Raw genomic sequence first — 21,495 nt, 5'->3', positions numbered from 1 at the left:
TTCCTCCTGGGGAAGCAGGCCTGGTTATGGCCAAGTGAAACACAGGGAGGAGCAGGGGGAGAGAGGAGAAGGTTGTTGTGTGGGATTTAGAAGACACCCATGCACAGAAGTCAAAAAAAGTAAGTGGAGGTGAGAAGCTGAGGGTGTGGGAAGGAGGTGATGACTGATGGAGTGGAAGAGCTGGCAGAATGAATGGGTCAGCAGGTGGCTTCCTCTTACCTGTGTTCTGCAAACGTTTGAAGCCTGTGTCAGTTTGTGGTGCTGAGACATAGGTTACATTTTGGACAATAGCAAAGGAAAAGTATTTAAATATATTTTTAGTACAAATGACTATTACAAGGACAAATTATTGGAGAAAAGAAGTGTAGGGTCTTGATAAGAGATTGCCTATTTAAATTTCCTTGCATTGCAAAGGGATAGAAATATCCAGAAACCCAGTTTTGAAAGCCTTTTTTAAAACAAAAACAAAAACAAAAAACCTTCTCTTTCTTTCTCATTCTTTCATTCTTTCATTCTTTTCCTCCCTCCCTCCCTCCCTCCCTCTCTCCCTCCCTTCCTTCCTTCAACAGGGTCTTGCTCTGTTGCCCAGGCTGGAGTGCAGTGGTGCGATCAGTGCTCACTGCAGCCTCAACCTGCAGGGCTCAAGTGATTCTCCTGCTTCAGTCTCCCAAGAAGCTGGGACTACAGGCATATGCCATCATACCTGGCTAATTTTTACAATTTTTTGTAGACACAGGTCTTGCTGTGTTGCCCAGGCTGGTTTTGAACTGCTGGTTAAGAGATCCTCCTCCCTTGTTCTCTCAAAGTGCTGGGATTACAGGCATGAGCCACCGCACCTGGCCAGACCTTTTTTTAAAAATCATTATTTTCAGTTGAGTATATTTGGAACCCCCATAAGTTACTAGGAAATAACTCTTGTGAATGGGTCCTTGTTATAGCTGGCTGATTGTGTGAACACTGCGTTTAAGGTCTTCAGCATCCAGCTGCTTTCTGTTAAATTCTACAGCAGCTGTCACCTCCTCATAGACAAGACAGGGAAGGGTGGGTTAGTGAACACTTGATCCCAACTCTTATTTGGATCTGGGCTGCTTTAAAGTGTGTGAGAGACAGAGGCAGGAAAGGTGGACGTGGACGTCGGAGAGGATGCTACGTGCAGAAGCCATTTCAGGGGCCTTCACGTGCATCCCACTTAACCCCACAGTAACCCCAGGAGGAAGATGTCATTTCCACCGTTTTACAGAGGGCTTAGTGGAGGGCTAAGTGAACCTGCTCACATCCAAGTTACTAACAAGTGACAAAGCCAGAACACAAACCCAGGCTTCCTGACTCTTGAGTTTAACGCTTGTTGCCTGAGCTGTACTTTAAGTCCTAGCCAAATAAGCATAACTCAAAAAGGGAAGTGGTCCACCTGGATGAACATCCTTGTTTAGTTGAGGCAGAGAGAAGGGGACTTAGAGGAGGGCTGGGCTCAAAAAGTCTAAGTTTGTTTCTGTACTCTCATGATAGGTAGCTAATAACAGAGGTCAAATCCCATTGAGACAAAATGAAAAATTTCTTTTAATAAAGACTCTAAGCCCTGGCCAGCGGGCCGCGTTTCTGAAGCAGAATTCTAGTAGCATGAAAGAATGTTGATTACCCCTTGGAATTTGTTAGAATAAGAAAATTTGTTATAATAACATTTAGAATGTTGGACTGTGTTCTCTCGGCAGTGCATGAGCTTCTTTCTAAGCACAGTAGTCACTTACCCTGAGAGCCACGGGTTGTCACTTAACTGGTTCAGCCTGTGCACACTGGGTAGGGGAAGCCAACTTAAAGGACCTTGTGTCTGGTGCAGTAAAAACTGTTAACTCCTTGGTAACACCTTCGGAACCCCTGAAACTTGACTCCAGCCACCAGTTGAGTATGAGTCACCGGGCCATGCCGTGGAGAGAGGAGCAGTAGGGAAAGGAGGTTCCTTGGTGAGGTCAGTGGACCATAAAGTGATATGTTTATCACCACGGCTCAGACTGCACTGAGCAAGCTTCATCCCCCACTTCCCAGAATCCGACCTGGCTCTACCTTTCTTGTACCCAGCGATCGCAGGCCATGAGGCCTGGTTGCTCTAACCCGAGCAGTTCTCAGAGTGTGGTTTTTGCCCCAGCAGCATCCGCATCACTTGGGGACTTGATGGAAATGCCAGTTCTCAGGCCCAACCCAGACCAACTGAATCAGGAACTCTGGGGGTGGGACCCAGCAGTCAGTGTTTCAATCAGCCCTTTAGGAGATCTGATGCTTGCTGACGTTTGGGAACTGCTCTCATCTATATACCCAGAATGAAAGAATTTAAGAGTTTTGCTCTTATCCCAGCTGGTCTTGCTGCGAGGCTTCAAGCAACATTGACTTACCACCAGAGCCTCAGTTTCCACAGCAGGAAAATGAGGTGTTTGCATTACCCCCCAGGTTCATTCCTGCTCTCAGAGTATATCCTTCTGTGTCTCAAAGTCATTTGTCAATCTTTCCCTAAAATACAAATAAGCATGTGACTCCCCCTGCCCCCAAACTTGCCAGGTTTCTACCCGGGAATTCCCCTTTGTGGTTTCCTTTCTACTTGGCACTCGGTATAAGTTTTGATGCCAGGCATTCGGAAAGTCATTGGGGAGCGGGGGAGAAACCACACACAACAAAAGTGGTCAGCTTATTCAACTTAGTGACAATGGCTTCTGGGACTAGAGCCCTTAATAACATCAACTTTTGAACAATTAGACCTTTCCTAGTGGCTTCACATGAGTGAATATTTTGTTATTTGTCTCAAATCTCACATCATTGTTTGTTAATTCAGGAAACCTATACCATATGCCCACTATGTGCCAGATACAAGCCAGGCACACCTATGAACTGGATATGCCGGCCACAATCCCAGGAGGGCCCTAGTCTCTTGAGTTCCAGACTGTCCTGTCCCTGGCCCATAGACGCTCTTTCTTAATTAAATTTCAACCTTGCCGTTCCAATATCATTTTCCATCCTGTGATGTGGGGGAGGCATCCGCAGGGCTGCAGCTGCACGGTGTGCATACCTCATTTGCTCATCTGGCAAAACCCTCAGCAGATGTGGAGGGAGGCTGCTCTAGCAGCCTGAGTCAGTGGAGCCTTGAGCTTTTCTCTCTGAGGGGGAGGGGAATTAGAGGAGACTGCAGAGTGCAAACCCAATGCTCTCTCGCAACGAGCCGACAAACAGAGGCTTTGGTCCCCTTTGTTCTGGGGTGGTGCTGGGGGTGCTGTGGTGGCCAGAGCCATGATGCCCCAGTGTGTGCTGCGGACCTCAGCACAAGGGAGGTTGCACAAGTGGGGAGGGGGAGGGACAGTATCAACCCAGTCTTGGGACCCCCTGGTTGGATTCCTTACTCCAAAGTGAGACTTCCATGTGGACTTGAACCCTGGCATCCTGTCCTCAAAATGGAAAAGGCAGAAGTCTGTTTTATAGTAGTGCCAGGCCTCTGATTAATTATCCCTTCTGAAAAAAGCATGCTACACCTAGAACTTCCTTGACACTGGTCCCAGCTGTCACACTGCCAGCAGTTTCTTTCAAGTTCTGTTGAAATATTTAAGCCCGTGGATGGAAATCCCATCAGCCGCCGTGCTGTGTAAATGGCATGTGCCGTTGTGGGAGTGTCTTCAGATTCTGGTACTTGCATCACTTTCCCGGGTGGAGGTGGTGAGCAACTCTCAGCACAGTGAGATAATGTTTGCGAAAGCACTTTGTAAACTGTAAAGTGCCATATAAACTTGAGTTGTCTGTGTTCAGATTGTGAGAAAGAGTGAAAGTCTGCCTTCTTTATTTCCCCCAAATTCCTACCTTTCATCTTCAGAGTATAAAGTGCTGTGAGGAATACATATGAGGGAAAGATTAATTCTACATGGGGTGTCGGAGGATTAATTAGGTGGTTGCTTCTCCTGATAGTTGAAATAACAAATATCCAAGGAGGAGTGCATTTGGGGATAGAATGGATTGAATGTTAAATACGCTGACCATGAAATACATAAGTATTGGATTTTTAGATAGGAGATGCTTGGTAGACAGATGACAGTATAAGTCAACTGCTCAGAAAAGGAGTCATGATCTAGGTACAGGTTGAAACCATGGGAGTGATTGAGATCACCTAGAAAAAGAATGAGATAGAAAGGGGATTGAGGAAGGAGCTGAGAAGTTCTTAGCCTTGGTTTATATTGGAATCTACTACGAGCTTTTCAAAAAAGAAAGCTCCCTAGGCCCCGCCTGGGTGTTCTGAATCAGATTCTCTGGGTTGGGGTCTATACAGATTCTGAGCAGAGGAGGAACCAGTGGAAGAGATGTGAAAGATAGGTCAGAGGAAACAGACGAGGACAGGAAGTATCACAGAGAACATGCAAGGAGAAGATTTAGCCAAAAGAGGCCCCTAGTTGGGGGCTAGTCAATAGGCGGTCACTGGTGACCATAACAGGATGCATTTCAGGGCAGTGGTTGCGGACTTCACAGACGAAGAACCATCCTTTGAGCTCGTGGTTCCCTGTGTCTGCCATTTGCTCAGTTTCACTGTCACCCTCCTTCCTTTGAATCTGGTTACCGAGTACCTCAGTGGTTTGACAGATTGTCCTGTGCCTCTTTCAGATCAAGTGTTCCCTCCAAAGTGCAACATAGGGAAGAATTTTCTCTCACTCAATTACCTTGCTGAGTACCTTCAACCCAAAGCAGCAGAAGGGTGTGTGATGTCCAGCCAGCCCCAGAATGAGGAAGTACACATCATCGAGCTAATCACCCCCAACTCTAACCCCTACAGGTAAGTGAGTCTAAGTGTGTGAGTGTGACAAGAGATGAAAGTAAAGATCTTCCTTGACTTGAGGCAGGGAGAGGTGTAGCCCGTCCTACACCCTCCCCTACGCAGGAGGGAAGGGAGCCATTGATGCTTCACGCAGGAGGGAAGGTAGCCATTGATGCTTCAGGTGTGCTTCATCAGATGTGTTTCACAGAAGCTTTGAAGAACAGAGTAAAGGCACCAGTGGTATATTTTATATTCTGCATCTGTCCCTAGATCCCAGATATTTCAGATGAATTCCTGAAGCCTGTTCCAAACTTCTGGGTGTTAATTACAGGACACAGTCACTCTTCCTTCATCTTTATCACCTCTGACTAAGGTTATCCCTGATAGGAAAATTACAAAATATGCCCTATTAATATAATTATCATCTTAGTAACCTTCTGTTTTTAATAAAGCTCTGTTTGTGGTGTCCTTAGAGCGCTTAGGCACTCAGAGCTGTTTGCGTTAAATCTGTGTGTGTGTGTGTGTGTGTGTGTGTGTATGCGCATGCACGTGTGTGGTGGAGTGGCTCTTCATGGTGCCATACCAAAGAGCCATTCGATAGAACTTGCCTCTCCCTTGTGTGCTTGGTGTGTGTGTGTGTGTGTGTGTGTGTGTGTGTGTGTGTGTGTGTGTATGCTGGAGTGGCCCTCCATGGTGACATACGAAAGAGCCATTCGATAGCGCTTGCCTCTCCCTTGTGTGCTTGGTGTGTGTGTGTGTGTGTGTGTGTGTGTGTGTGTGTGTGTGTGTATGCTGGAGTGGCCCTTCATGGTGACATACCAAAAAGCCATTCGATAGAACTTGCCTCTCCCTTGTGCGCTTGTTCTCCCTCTCAGCTTCCTACCCCTGGATTGGAAATTCGACCCTCCCTATCAAGAATAATTAGGGAATTAAAGAAAAAGGAGAAAAAGTAGGTTCTTTTCCCACATGAGCCTGCATTTCACCCTCCTTCCTTTGCATCTGGACTAGTGACTTGAAAATTTAAATGTATATTGTAGAGGGATTTCGAGGTGAAAATGCTAATCGGGGTTTGACTTTCAAAGCGTGTAAGCTACAGATCGTTTTGATAAGATTCCACTCTGGCCACTTGAAGAATTTTGTAGAAAGTGAAAAGGGAATGGGAATAGGAGCAGTCTGGTGAATGTGCTTCGACGTCAGGCCTGAGGCTTCATTGGAGTATACCATGCATTTTATGCTTTACAAGTGTGTAAAGCTGAGATGGAAAGAAAGACTGTTCCCTTAAATTCAGAATGACAGGGATGTTATTGTTTAGTAAAAAATTCTCTTTTTTACGAATTCTTAGAAGTTTGGGTTGTGTTCATCAATTTTCCAGTAATCACTTGGTTGACCATCTGTTTTCTTTATTTTAATAACCTTATATCCAGAAGTTTGGGAAAGTAAATGCAGATACGATTCTGTAGCAATTGTTAATGACTTAAGCAAACCTTATATAAATCAAGAAATTCTTTAGCCTTTTGTCTCTTATTTTACTCTGAAGTTTCCTAATTTTTTTTTTTACCACCATGCTTCCCTTATCCCAACACCCCGCCCCCAACTCACCAAACTGCCACCTACTTCAGTTTTGAAGGAATTTGAGCATATTAGCCAAATGGGAATCCTGTACATCGAAGGTGTTGAAGGTTGAAAAAGCAACAATACTGCTTCAAAAGTAAACTCTTCTGGTTCGTTCAAGTCCACTTCAAACAGTGGCTGCATTAAGTAACCACCTCTTTTCCATCAAAGAAGAGAAAAACTTTAGTGACTAATTATCAGCAAGCATATGTTTCTATTGTTATGTAAAACAATTTTGTTATGTGTGCAGTAACAATCTGTTTTGCACATGTCATTGGCCTGGGATCAACTCCAGCTTTTTAATCAACTGGCCAGACACTAGAAACATGAAGACTTGGAAGAGGGGAGATAGTTGCAACTTTCTGGCATGTAGGTCTTAACTTTGCCTTTGTCTTCCATTCACAGTGCTTTCCAGGTGGATATAACAATTGATATAAGACCTTCTCAAGAGGATCTTGAAGTGGTCAAAAATCTCATCCTGATCTTGAAGTGCAAAAAGTCTGTCAACTGGGTGATCAAATCTTTTGATGTTAAGGGAAGCCTGAAAATTATTGTAAGTTGGTGGAGCATGTCTTTTGTTTTGTTTAGATAAATGACAACAATTTAAGCTGTACTTTATAAGTGTTATTTTTAAAGTTCCTGCCTCTTTGGACTCTCTAAGCTCTGTCAATTATTTTTCACTTTGCAAAATAGCATGCTCCTATAAAATAGGTGCGGTTGTTCAAACATGGCCTTGGATTAAGACGGACCCAGGTCTGAGTCCAGGTAATCCCACTGTGACCTTTGGCAAGTCCCCTAACCTCTCTGAACCCCAGCTCCCTCATTTGTGAAATTCCTGAAATACATTAGTATGCTTTCCACTAATAGTAAGTGTAAAGTAATGAACACAATTAAGCCTTCATATTGAGCATCCCACAAGGACCTCAGTGTCATAGTACCGAATATCAGCTTTTATTTTGGAGTTAGGTACTTAGAGAAAGTATGGACTATTAGGCTGACCCCAGCTCACATCATTGACTTTTCTTTTTGAGTTAAATACGAAATATTGGCATGTCTTTTTGCTTGCTTCCAACTCCTAAGTGTGAAACACTGATAGAAGAATCACAGTAAGTGCGAAGTCAGTGAAATGATGCTGGACAAGTCTACTCCAGCTTGTTCCCAAGGCCCTCTATTTAATAGAGATGTACGCACAAGGCTTAGCCCATTGGCATGATGGGCAAACAGCAGCTGGTTTCCTCAAAAGTTGAATGTTGAAACTTGGTAAAGTAAATCTTATCTCAAATATGCTTAGGCAATAACTATTTGACTGAATTATATTGAAAGTTAAAGAAAAATCCTCCTCCCTATTTTTTAAGAAGATAATTATCTCTTTAGTATCTCTTCTATGGGCTCAAATTTTTTTTTTTTTTTTTTTTTTTTTTGGCCAATCTCTCTTTTAGTTCCTGCACTGAGTAAGCTGAAGTGGGTTTTATGTTTTCAGTATTTTGGGAGAGGGATGCCCTTGGTTTTGGTATTATTCATTCATTCATGGCACCTTCCATGTGATACCACAGTGAGCAAAGCCAACAGTTCCCTTGGCAACGTCATGTAAAAGCACTCACCAGAGGCAGCAGGCAAAACCACTAGCACACATATTTTAATTTTAAAGTAATCGTTTCTGGTTCCCGTGGGTTTTTTTTTTTTTTATAACTTTGCTAGGATCCCAGTGAGCCATCATATGTAATGGTGATACATTAATTTGTTGTCAAGCCCAAAGCCTAGCCATGATCTGAAGTCAGAGATGTTTTGATTGCCTTCTCTGGCATGGCATGAGGGGTGTTGGTGACCTAGGCTGTCTGCTGCTTTTGCTGCCTGGCACACCGGCCAAATGTTTTTAATTTCAGAATAACAAAAACAGGAAAGGGAATCATGCTTTGAAAGGCAAAAACATACGGTACATTTTAATTCCCTGCTGGAGTTCTTGTGTAAATATTCTTTCAGCCTTGACCCTTCGATGGCTCTTTCCCTGAGTATGTGTGCCTGGTCCATGGCAGTCCTGGAGTTCACTTTGAATGTCCCCATCTCTCATATGAATCAGAAAGGCTAGAAATGAGATTGCTCATCCCAGTGCAAGATCTGTTTATGTTCCTCTCCTTGGCTGTACGCTTGTTCCAGGCCAATTTTGGACAATGCATGACAACATTACTAAACAATTAGGTAATGTTTCATGATGTTCTTTTTTATTCTCCCAACCAGTTTATGCTTTGTGATTTTCTAATTCCCTGTTTCAGATGTGAATTCTGACTGTGCTGTGAGGGAAAGGTACCTGCTCCCACAAAAGTTTAAATTACTATTTAGAAAGGGGGCAATGGTTTATAGAAACCTTGTTTCTAGTATTTCCTTTAGAGACAGCATAGTGAAATTGAAAGAATCTTGACTTTGTGCCAGACAGGGCTAGATTTAAATCCCATTTCCAATTACTACTCCTAGTAGATGTTGTGCAGTCTGACTGATGAACACGGAGTCTGTTTGGTCACCTGTGAAATGGGTATGATGATAGTACTCACCTTGAGTTTGTGGTTCATTAGCTGAGTTCATTTGTTTGTTCATTTATTTGCCAAATACTTGTTAAGGGCCTATAGGATATTTCACCTAAAGCACTGGACACAGGGCCTGCGCATGTAAGTTCTCAGCTACATGTGTTGCTTCTGTGAGTCTTAGGTTCTCCTTCTCTAACAGGAATGGTAATGCCTATCTCCTTATATTTTGGAAGAGAAATAAGATAATATATGCCTAGCAGAGTGCCTGCCATAAAAAGGGGGTTCATCTTCCTTCCATAAATAACTCTTTCAGAGTGTCTATAGGAACAATTAGGGCACTTCTCTATACAAGGTGAAAAGAAAGAAAGATGTCTACTAAGGGAATTGTAAGGAGTCTGATGGAGTAATTTAAAGAAGAGCACCATTAAATATGGATGTCTTATGCATGTGTGTGTCGGGGGTGGGGCATGGGCAGAATGTGTCCTCCAGATGGCAAAATGGTCAAAAGAGGTGCAAAGAGCCAGGCAGTGGGCAAGAATGGGAACATTGGAGGTGTCTACATTGCCTTGTCCAGCTCTGGCTCTTTTCTCAGGTCCTGTGTGGACCATGCATAATCACTTTTATGGTAGGAAGAACCTCTAAAACATAAAAAAATAGATGGAGGAAACCTGTTAGAGGTTTCCTCTTATATTATTTCATGTGGCCTCAGGACTTCAGGGTTGATGATGGGCAGCTTGTTCTTAGAGAATACATTTTTAAAAATCTCAGTGGGCATATGCACTACGCTCTCTGGCCATTCCCTTCCTTAGTCCTCCCTCCCCTATACCATCAGTCCAGATGTAAATATGGGGGAGTGTGGAGGCACTTAGACTTAACTCCTTATCTTTCATGAAGATATGGCTGGGAAAGATGGTGGTGGTTTTTGGAGACCTCCTTGTACACCTGCATTTGGCGTAGCTCCACTAAAGCTGGAAAAAGCCTAGGGACTTCCAGAAGTACAGTGTGAGAATTTGCTCAAAGCTGGGAACCAACTTGTCTGCCATTGTCCCAAGCCTTGCTGCTTTACAAATGTGTAGATAGATGTTGAGTCTTTTAAGTTCCCAGACATAATCAAAATGAGATGTATTGACAGCTCCTAGATTTAATCTGGAAAGGTGCAAACAGCTCATTCCACATTGGTGCAAAAGGACAGGTGGCAGTTATGATGATAGTGTTCTGGAAATACGATATTTTCTCAGCTGTCCAACAACATGAAAGAGACTAGGGCAGATGAGGGCAAGCAGTGTTGTTTAGGCCAATTGTTGTGATTCCAGCCAATCAAAATGACATGTAGCTCTAAAAGGCTGGAAGAAGCTGTACCTAAGAAACTACTGTTGACTGAATGCATAAAAAGTTCTAAGAATAAATTGGATCTTTCATGATCTCATTTTAGCTCTTTCCTTCCTTCCTTCCTCTTTGTTTCTTTCCTCCCTAGCCCTTCTTTACCCTAAGGAGTTTTTTTCTGAATTGGAGTAAGAGCTAAAATATTCTGAATCTATTAAACTGAGTTTACAAATGGCCGCAGAAGTTGGTTAAAGTTCTGTCTGGTTCCTTTGCATATAGAATTTGTGACTGGTGAGTCTGGCAGTATTCCCACACATAAGCACTTTAGGTAATAGAAAAATATACTGAATGAGATCCTTTAAGATTTGAGTTGAAATATATGTGGCTTCAGCCAATATCCCACAACCACATAGGCCAAGAGAACTTAGAGCCTGTGAATCTTTTAGGGTTTTACAGTGGGAAAGGATTAATATTTAGTCATGTTAGGGGCAAACAGAATGGGAAACAAATGAGGAATTTAGGAAAAATGCTGCATGCATGCAGGAGAAAATCACTGGGCATGGAAATTAAAGTGATTTTTATACAGCACGAAAATGGTGTAATCTGCATGCTGGAAGGGCTTTCCAGCCCTGTTGGTGCAGTTGTTGAAAATATGGTACCTTCCCTTTGGGGTCCCCTCTGCAGCATTTAGCTCTCTCACCCTCTGAGAAGAGCACTGCCACAGGAGTCAGCAACTGATGTATAAATTTACCTTCCATGTCCTTGTTGAATAACCTGGTTGAGTAGAGTCCATTTATATCCTTTCCCAAAAATATTTCTGTCATTTTAATTTTGTAATTGATTATCCAGTGAAAGCTAGTCTTTTTTTTTTTTTTTTTTTTTTTTTTTTAAGGCAGGGTCTCCCTCTGTCACCCAGGCTAGAGTGCAGTGGCATGACTATAGCTTACTGCAACCTCTAACTCACGGGCTCAGGTGATCCTCCCACCTCAGCCTCCTGAGTAGCTGGGACTGCAGGCAAATGCCACCATGCCTGGCTAATTTTAAAATTTTTGTAGAGATGGGATCTTCCTGTGTTACCCAAGCTCGTCTCAAACTCTTGGGCTCAAGCAGTCCTTCCGCCTCAGCCTCCCCAAATGCTAGTATTATAGGTGTGAAGTATTGCACCCATCCCTGAAAGCTAATCTTAAGACCTACTTGTATTACTGGATAAAACAGTGATACTTAAGGGGAGAGTAACCTAAATTAATTAATTAATATTTAGAATAGAAGATACAAGTATATTCAGTTAGTAGAATTGGCAAATGAATACAGTTATAGAATTACTAATTGATCATACATTTTAGATGAAATATAAACATTGGTTGTTTTACCATGTGGAATTTAATAGTTTATATAGATGGGATAGTCTCCACACTGAAGTACAGTCTTGAGCATATAATATGGTTCAGTCAGTGAGGGACCACATATACGACAGTGGTCTTATCAGATTGTAATACCATATTTTTACTGTACCTTTTCTATGTTTAGATGCACAAATACTGACCATCATGTTACTACTGCCTACAGTATTCAGTGCAGTAACATGCTGTGCAGGTTTGTAGCCTAGGAGCAGTAGGCTGTACCATATAGCCTAGGTGTGTAGTAGGCTCTACCATGTAGGTTTGTGTAAGTGCACTCTATGATGCTCACACAATGACTAAATCACCTAATGATGCATTTCTCAGGACATATCTCCATTGTTAAGTGGCTGTAAGTGATTGTGCTATCTTTCATTGAAATCTAGGGGAATAGGAAGTGGAAGCATGGGAATTTGAGGGCAATATAACATGTCTGTTTGTATACTTTATATGTCATTTTAAGTAAAAAAAAGGGAAAGTTTATTATACATATGTACTGTGTGTGTTAATAATTTAAACATTAGACTAACTGTACAGTTATAGACTAGGCATACTTAGTATGTAACTACTTACATGTCATTGGATGATTTTTTTTATCAGCATAGGCAATACAAATAGTATGATCAAGCAGCATACGTAGATGTCTTTTAGTCGGCTATTAAAGGTTTTTCACATCATCGTTCTTAGCCCAAGGAAAACAGGGGTCAAAAGAATAAATAATTCCCTCATATACAATATAGAATCTACTTATTTAAGATATTTAATTTTTATTATCTAAAGTACTGTTTAATTTTAGACTCATGAGTGATTTTTTTGCTATATCTTCAGGCTCCTAACAGTATTGGCTTTGGAAAAGAGAGTGAAAGATCTATGACAATGACCAAATCAATAAGAGATGACATTCCTTCAACCCAAGGGAATCTGGTGAAGTGGGCTTTGGACAATGGCTATAGTCCAATAACTTCATACACAATGGCTCCTGTGGCTAATAGATTTCATCTTCGGCTTGAAAATAATGGTAAGTTAGAAGTTTTTTAAGTTATGTAAAAAATACCCCCCAAATGAAGCTTTTCCAGTGAGGAACTGTCATTTCAGCTTATATGTTGCTGTTTTTCTCTTGTACATTTTAATAATTTGACTACTTTTTATCAGAAGGCTTAAAATTACCTAGACAGAGATTTTGAGGAAACTGTAATACAGATTTTCAGTGACATAGAGTTGAATGCATATTCAGAGAACTTTGTTATAGGTTATCTTTAGTGTGATTACATTAGGTTCTTCTCTCCGAGACACCTAATGACCACTTATGGCTGAGAATACAGAAGAGTTAAGACTGCAGGAAAGAAGTTCATGGTAAAAGGCTGTATCTTTTAGGAAAATAGTCACGAGGACTCATACTTGAGTGTTCATACCCAGAGGATGGCAGGAGTTACTACCCCAGCTGAATGGGGTGGAAAGCAGAGGGTCAACAAATTCTTGAGGTTTTCTGGAGTCTTCTAGCTAGCATGACTTGAAACCCTAGTTTTGTGATCCCTAGACCTGTTCCTCAGCTCATGGTACCACCACTGAGTGAAATGCCAATAGAATAAGGATTAGGAGTACAGGTTCAAGCCCCAGCTCTACCATTTAGTCACTGTTTGGGGAGAAGTTGCTTCACCTCTGAGCCACAGATTTTTCTTCAGTAATAAGGGGAAAATAATAGGACAGACCTTACAGGGTTGTTGTGAAGGTTTTCGTGAAAGTACAAATTAAAAACCCTACAAAGCTATGACTTATTTTGGACCCTTACAGCTCTAGCGTCCTTTCCAAAGAATATTATTAAAGGAGAGATAATGTCCAACTATCATCTTCACTTCCAGCTTCCACTGAGATGGATTTGACCTCAAGTGTACATCAGTTGGCCTTAGATAGTAGATATAAAGAATACTGGGGAAATTATTATTTTTTTAGTTGTTAGAAATACGACAAAATATTGAGTATTGATTGTATGGAAATACGTCTCTCCCTTTGAAGGAATAAATGTATCTATGCAGCTATTTCTTATCTTTCAAGGGAATATGTTCCAAAAGGCCAAGGTGCCCAGATACCTGTTAAAATTTAGCTGTCAAAAAGAAGGTGGTGAAGTAATTTTAACATACCAATATTGTTTCAAGACATCATTAGAGAAATTATTCAAAAGACTCTCTTGATTCAAGGAAAGTATTTTAGTGGCATTTCAATGGAATAATATTGCATCATGTAACTTAAATCACAGATTTTTCTAGCTTGGACAGCCTTAGAAACTGTCTGTTCCATTGGTTCTCAGTCTTAGGTGCACATTGCAGTTACACATGGAGAGACTAAAACATATTAATGATTGGGTACCACCCCAGAGAGTCTGAGTTTAAATTGTTTGGGGTACAACCTGGGCGTAGGAATATTTTTTAAAGCTCCCAAGTGATTTTCATGTGTAGCCAAAGTTAAGAACCACTGATCATTTCCAACCACTTAATTTAAAAAATTGGAAAAGCAAATTTGAGGCACAGAGAAGCAAGCCGCTTGCCTAAAGCCACTGAGCTAGTTAGAGAGAACACCAGGACTAGAATTCAGGCTTCTAGACTTCTAATGACCTTTATGCACTGCTTATTAAAAGTCATTTTACACCTGCCCATTCTATGCTAATTCCTCCTGTTCTGCCTGTAATGATGTTGGTTGTGGCCTGGCATCAAACACTGCTGATGTTTTGCCTTCTTCTTTCACCAGCAGAGGAGATGGGAGATGAGGAAGTCCACACTATTCCTCCTGAGCTACGGATCCTGCTGGACCCTGGTGCCCTGCCTGCCCTGCAGAACCCGCCCATCCGGGGAGGGGAAGGCCAAAATGGAGGCCTTCCGTTTCCTTTCCCAGATATTTCCAGGAGAGTCTGGAATGAAGAGGGAGAAGATGGGCTCCCTCGGCCAAAGGACCCTGTCATTCCCAGCATACAACTGTTTCCTGGTCTCAGAGAGCCAGAAGAGGTGCAAGGGAGCGTGGATATTGCCCTGTCTGTCAAATGTGACAATGAGAAGATGATCGTGGCTGTAGAAAAAGATTCTTTTCAGGTCGGTGCAGCTGATTACAGGAGGGAAGAGAGGCTACCTCCTTTCCCATCTGGCCCTAGTCTGCATCTGTAATTTCTCCCTATCTCTTTCATTTTTGAACTCCGGAGGCTTGATACTGTTTTCTCAGTTGGATGGGCCTACTTCCCCTTGGCTGTGATTCTCACCTGGTTCCTGTTGTTCTCAGTGACAGGGGGTGGGGGTTCCAGATCCTTGTGTGTCAATATTTTGCTATTGAATTTCCAAGGCCAACAGATACTACCCTTGAGCTGTTGAGAGGTGGGCAGCTGGGAAGAGATACTTGGGGAAGGGGCACGATGCAGGCCTCTCATCGCCTGTCCTTGGAAGACCAGGCAATTGTCAATTGTGTCAATTATACAACAGAACTGCCTGTGGGCCTCCAACCATGTCTTTGGTGGTTGTTGTTTTAGGCCAGTGGCTACTCGGGGATGGACGTCACCCTGTTGGATCCTACCTGCAAGGCCAAGATGAATGGCACACACTTTGTTTTGGAGTCTCCTCTGAATGGCTGCGGTACTCGGCCCCGGTGGTCAGCCCTTGATGGTGTGGTCTACTATAACTCCGTGAGTGTTTTCCAGAACAAAGCTTTGCCCTTTGCCAGAGCCTGGCTGTGTGCTCCCTTAAAGTTAGTCTTAACATTTCTTTGAAGATGAAGAGGGTTTTCACCCCAGGCCTGAAGAAAGCCAAGTGTCAGTTCTCAACAAAATGGATGTACTTTGACCCTGAGCTCTTTGGTTTTATTTGTTTTATTGGTGAGTCTTTGGGAATTGGAAGGCCTGTTTTCTCACCCCCCGTTTCCGTCTCCTGATGACAAAGGCTGCACTGTCAAGGTGATTATGACTTCTCTCAGTGCCCAAGCTCAACTGGCCCTTATAAGGATAAAATTTTAAGGCCCTGGGCTATATGAACGAGCAGCACCTCTGCACAGCCGGGTTAACCAGATGTGTGGTCTCTCTGGCCTCATTTGAGTCTCGTCCAGAAGTAGGAGAACTTCTCCCTCCTTCATGAATAAAAATCCAAAAAGAGAATTTAAAACTCAAAAAGGACCTTTAAGGAATTATTAAGTCTCTCTCCACCTCTAAGAAAGACCATACATTGAAGAAACTCTCCTACTTTTGAAGTTACTTGGAGAAAGATTCCACAGATTTCCCCCAATGATAAACCGTTGCAATAGCTAAGCTGCATTTTCCAGAAATCTTTCTTCTCAGTTGGTCAAAATCTTTTCAGATTAAACCCATTCTCTTGGGTGCAGAGACTAGGCAGTGAATATTAAAAGAATTTAAAATGTGAAGTTCCAAAAGAACTTTAAAGTGCTGATTTTGCATTTTGGGTTTTACTTTTAATGGTAAAAATAAGGCTCAGAGATCCCTGTGTCCACCTTTGACACAGGGTGGGTTGGGGTGGGAGGGGGGGTGTCTTCTTAGTGCCATATCCAGCTTTGACATGGGGTGGCTGAGCTGTGGCTGCTAGTTCGACCCCATCCAGAGAAGAGAGGCTAGCAATCAGGTGCTCTGGTCAGCGTGGTTCCTGTGGGAAGTGACTCTCCCATGAACCCAAGCATATTGTTCCTCAGAGAATATTAGACTGTTGGAGCAGCAAATAACCCTAAGATGAGCTTATTCAGCTTCTTCATTTCACAGGTGAGGAAACTGAACTCCAAGAAGTTAAAAAGACTTGCTTTTTTAAACTCCAGGGATGGGCTAATGGCAGAGCCAGGACGACTGAATCCAACTTCCTGACCTCTTGTCCACTAATCTTTCCTAGACACCAGGCTAGGCCCTGCTAATCTCCTTTTGTTACTCAAATAATTAATTTATTAACCTTTGACCTCCTGATAATTGCAGCATGAATTTTCGTTCAGTTATCCAGTGTCTACAGATATAATGAATGTCATATATTACTGAAATACTTGATTATGGCATTTTAAAACTGGGGTCCAAGTTAACACCAAAAGTGGCTACAGTAATATGTCTGTTAAGAAAAAATAAAAAAAAAAAAAAGTCAGTTGCTTCAGGAGAGAAAGGCATGTAATGATCCCTTAAAGTTCCTTTTTTTCTCACATATTTTTCTTTTCTTTATTATGATCTTTGAGTTTAGCAATATCCTAGATGCTTCCTTTAATTGGCGTCAGTACTTTCTTTGGAGGACCTGGTACAGAGAGAAAGGCAGTTTGTTTTTTTTTTTTAATTTTCTTCCCATCCTACTCCCTTTGGAGACTGTTTTAGCTGTTCTCACCAATTATAATTGTTTGTAGTAATTTTCAGACTTACTATATATTTCTATTTTGCATCATGTTCAGAATCCAAGCATGTGAAGCAAAAGAAATTAGGATTTCATTTATGGCGTCATGACCCTTGGGTGAATTTTCTCATCCTATTTAGAAATAATCCAGGAATCATAATTTCAACCTATGTCAAGATAGATTCCGGGAATATATCTGCAGGTGGATAGCGAAAAAGGTGGAAAAAAAAGATTCCTGGAATAAAACGTATTCTTTTCCACATCCATACACCATAGAGAAAGATTTCTTAGGGAAGAAATGAGCAAAAGTTAGAGGGGTACAAGAGCGGCAATGAAGAGATGTGCTCCATAGTAAACATTAGGTCCTTCGCTGCTGACTCCAACCAAACTTTCTACAACTCTTAAAGGATATATATAACCAAACATTAGGTCCTTCGCTGCTGACTCCAACCAAACTTTCTACAACTCTTAAAGGATATATATAACCAAAGCTTCTTGTATTCGCCAACTGCTAGTAGTTCTTAGAGTTTATAATATAAAGACTCTTAAGGGGAAGCCCCTTCTCACGGTATAGGCAAGTCTCTTGACAACTCCATTCAACTCCATTCTAGTATCTAGTGTTTTCCCACCATTTGAAATCATTTGTAATTATTCAATATGGTTACAACATAAATATTTATTTTTCACAAGAGAAGATACAAATATTAGTTTAGCTTTTAACTTGAACCTGCATTGGGTTTCTCCTTATTCTTCATCACTTTGAAGATATAATTCGAAAAAGCCTGGATGTTATTTTATTATTTTGTCTTAAAGTCAGATTTTCAATTTGCATCAGAATGATTACATGAGTGTTTGTGTGAGGCAGAACCAAACACACATGGTTTGGTGTTTTTATAACATTGGCTGTGCTTTCTTTGCCTTTTAGATTGTGATACAGGTTCCAGCCCTTGGGGACAGTAGTGGTTGGCCAGATGGTTATGAAGATCTGGAGTCAGGTGATAATGGATTTCCGGGAGATATGGATGAAGGAGATGCTTCCCTGTTCACCCGACCTGAAATCGTGGTGGTATGTGTTTGTTATCAGTAGGGGGTTTGTGGAAAATGCTGTCTATTTTGTTGGCTTTAGTTAGGGACTATCTGAAAATAAAATCAGATGTTAAAAGCCAAAGCTCATGAAGCTACAGGGCCTTCATCCTTCATATGACTGTCATTAATCTTCCTGTGGGTTGTTATTTCCAGTTTAATTGCAGCCTTCAGCAGGTGAGGAACCCCAGCAGCTTCCAGGAACAGCCCCACGGAAACATCACCTTCAACATGGAGCTATACAACACTGACCTCTTTTTGGTGCCCTCCCAGGGCGTCTTCTCTGTGCCAGAGAATGGACACGTTTATGTTGAGGTGAGACCTGAAAGTTAGCCTTGACCTTTTAGGTTAGTGCTGGGCTATAGTTCCTTAGACATCAGCTAAAATACCCTGTACAGACCTCTTCCTGTCCTACCTCACAGACCTTCAACAGGTCTGATGAGGGATTGGCTCAGAGAACGCTTCCAGACTGACTTCTGACCAAAGCAGGAAATTTCAAGATTTAATACATTATGCTAAGTGAAGACAGTATTTTGTAGATGAATGTTAACAAAAAAAAAAATTGGCAAGTGTGAATTCTACTGGTAAAGCCCTGTCCTTTGCTTTTGGAACAGTAGTTCAGTAGTTGCAGTGTTAGAGTTAACCATGGAATATTTCAAAACCACCTCATATGTTATCTTTTATTTCTTTTTTTTTCCCTGCACAGTCCCCTTAGCCCCCAGCAGGGCAGCCAAATCCCTGTGGGTCCATGCCGCCACTGAAACTGACTTGTTATCTTTTAAATTGCACTCACTTTTAAGTGAAATGCTATGTGCTATTATAACTCATGACATTTTTTTTTCTAGATCATGATCTGAGTATCTGTATAAACTTATTTAAACTATTTCCTATATATAATGTTAATAATCATGTGCAACCTAAATCTGGAATCTGGAGTGACTACACAATATTAGGCAGTGGCGGTAATAATGAAATAACAACATCTAACATTTGCTGCAGATTTATTATGTGCCAAACAGAGTTGTAAGTATTGCAGCAGTTAGTTAACTCTTTAGAGCCATCCTATAAGGGAGGCTAATAATATCTTCATTTTATGGATGAGAAAATTGAGGCACAAATTTGTCTGAGGCCACACAGCTGGTACTAGTGGAGTTCAGATTCAGTGCTCATAGGCCGTGTGACTCCAGAGCTCTGACTGATCTTCGCTGGATACGACTATCACTTATCTCCAAAGTGCCATTTGAAAGGGGAGAAAACATAACGTCTTATCAATGCAAACATCCAGGTTCAGAGAGTGGATTCTAGAAAAGATAAATGTCCTTATGGCACCAGGATGTCTGCTGTTTCTTGTGCCCTGGGTACAACCTTTCATGTTTCAACCTTAGTGTTTCAAGTGGGCATATCATCTGTTGGTCTTATGGGAAGGTCCTCATCTAATGAGCTGGTTTTGGTGCTCAGCTGCAAGCTCAGCTTCATAGTGGGAGGGGTGAGAAGCTTAAAGGGTCAAAGTGGGGTACTTCCATATGTTAAAAGTGACTTTGGTGCACGTGTTTCTGTTTTGGAAAGACACATAACTCTCACATTCGCACTGACTCTGGGACAGAGCCCGCTGGCGCTAGATGTTGTTTTCCTTGATCATATGGATTCTGCCCCTCCCCCATTCTGAGAGTTCTCTTTCTTTGAGCACACCTTCTTTCTCCATTGGGGAAAATATACTGCCTTCTACATGCTTTTCCTAAGCCAAGATGGCTGTTTTTCTCTTGCTTTTCTGGCTGTACAGTTCACATGGGCAGTTGGTCAACAGCACCCTATTGCGCTGTGGATTTCAGGGGTGCTGCATAATTGCAGATTGTTCTTTTCCAAATCTATGCCTGGCTTTGCTGATTTATGCTAATCAGTGGTCAATCTTCCTCCTGTACCTTACCCTGGATATTTTGGGTTTTTTCCCCCATCCTTCAAATGCTGGCTTACTTGAAGTGTGTTATTGGTAGTTTTTTTTTTCCATTCTTGTTTTCCCATTTATACCTTTTCATATATCACCTATATTTCTCATAGTTTATCCTCTATTCCCTCTACACCATACAGTCCCTTTCATAATCCAAGTTAACAGTGTTGCCACCTGTTCATTGGTCATCTCCAGGTGACTGTTGGTCACATAATGGCAGTTTTCTTTTGGTTCATTTGTCTTGGGGAATTTACAAACCCAGTTGTTAATAACCCAAAATTTTAAATCTAGAATACTACTATTACTAATAGGTAGCATTTATTGACACTCTGGGAACTGTGTTGTTTGCATGTAACTTTTACTTTGCTAGTTTTCACAATTATGATATCTTGTGGGTATTCGTGTTCTCATTCTGTAGGTGAGTAAACTGAGTCTCGGTGCCCAGCACGTGAGCAGGAGAGCATGTAATTTTTATGAGCTCGTCTCACTACAAAGCCCGTAGTCCTTCTCCTACTCACTTCTGGTCTAAAAGTAAAATCCTTTTTAGTAAAAGATTTGCTGATAATTTATATATATAAACTATATATACATAAAATATATTAAAAAATAATATATATTTTTTCCCTCTGCTACAAAGGTATCCCTTTTTGGGATACCTTAGACATTCTGCCGCTACATACTTTCTTTTGAGATTAGAGAAGAGATTTGCAGTCCCTCTGTTACACATTTTGGCATGTGGTTTCTGAGTTCATGTTAAACGGCAGTTTTTAGTAATAGCACATATGTAATTTGCCACCTTTCCAAGATAGAATATCTTGTTTTTCAGAAGTATTGCAAAAATACTGAAGTGTTAGTATTTACAGAATGTCACCACAGTGACATTATCAGAATCCTCTTCATTAGCATTTTCACTGTTGAGTGTCCTGCAGTTAACCACCACGTAGGAATCTTTCACAACAGTGCTGCGGATTCAAAGCCCCATGTGATGTCAGGGGTTTCCCCTGGGTATCTCAGCGTGGAAAGTCTGTTTCTATCTCCATGTCTTTTGAAATGATTCTGCGGCTGTTGGTCTATGGGTAAGGACTAGCTGTTTCTACAAGTGTTTAAGTTTATTTTGATCCTAAATTTAGTCAAAGAATGAGGCATAGCAGGGAGGGGCAGTTCATGCAGTGATCCACGTGTCACCAAATGGAGAATCTCCTCTGGTCTGGGGATTTTAGCTAAGTTCAGGATAGTTGAGGTTTGAATTCTGTTTACACTTGGCTAAACATTACTTCCTGTTTCTAAGGAAAAGAACCTTAACAAAATTTGGACGTAGCCCATACAAGTGTTTTCAAAGGGGGAAGTATAAATGAGTCGGAAACGTTTCCAGATTAGATTTCCCCTAAACTACCCCTGGGCTTATGGAGCGAAGGGGGAGTACTTGGCAAGGCTGATTTGGATCTGTGAGCAGCTGGGACACTTTACCAGGCCCATGATGGCCTCCAGGTTGCACCGTCACTGA

The 21,495-nt window shown here is 41.7% G+C and overlaps 1 protein-coding gene across 12 annotated transcripts in view, besides 1 other annotated feature; it reads left to right on the top strand.

The window, feature by feature from the left end:
* Positions 1-21,495, top strand: part of TGFBR3 (transforming growth factor beta receptor 3) — a 225,660-nt gene that overhangs the window by 171,406 nt on the left and 32,759 nt on the right. For 7 of the 12 annotated variants that reach the window (NR_036634.2, XM_047429247.1, XM_006710867.3 and 4 more), the window contains 7 exons: positions 4,624-4,792; positions 6,791-6,938; positions 12,453-12,642; positions 14,367-14,704; positions 15,133-15,285; positions 17,889-18,029; positions 18,203-18,361. Coding sequence is in view for 11 of the 12 variants with exons in the window: in XM_047429247.1 (XP_047285203.1) it covers positions 4,624-4,792; positions 6,791-6,938; positions 12,453-12,642; positions 14,367-14,704; positions 15,133-15,285; positions 17,889-18,029; positions 18,203-18,361 (1,298 nt within the window). In the remaining variant the exon portion in view is untranslated. The remainder of the gene's footprint in view (positions 1-4,623; positions 4,793-6,790; positions 6,939-12,452; positions 12,643-14,366; positions 14,705-15,132; positions 15,286-17,888; positions 18,030-18,202; positions 18,362-21,495) is intronic. The other 5 variants (NM_001195684.1, XM_047429256.1, NM_001195683.2 and 2 more) reach the window with 1 other exon arrangement.
* Positions 1,771-2,065: an enhancer, noted in NCBI's record as "tiled region #4673; K562 Activating DNase matched - State 5:Enh". NCBI's record gives its function as "activates a minimal TATA promoter and a strong SV40 promoter by Sharpr-MPRA in K562 cells {active_cell/tissue: K562}" and the evidence as "EXISTENCE:reporter gene assay evidence [ECO:0000049][PMID:27701403]".

This window comes from Homo sapiens, chromosome 1, assembly GCF_000001405.40.
Source record: "Homo sapiens chromosome 1, GRCh38.p14 Primary Assembly".
In the NCBI taxonomy this organism is placed as follows: Eukaryota; Metazoa; Chordata; class Mammalia; order Primates; family Hominidae; genus Homo; species Homo sapiens.
The sequence above is the reverse complement of the archived record's forward strand: the minus strand, read 5'-3'. Positions and strand labels throughout refer to the sequence as shown.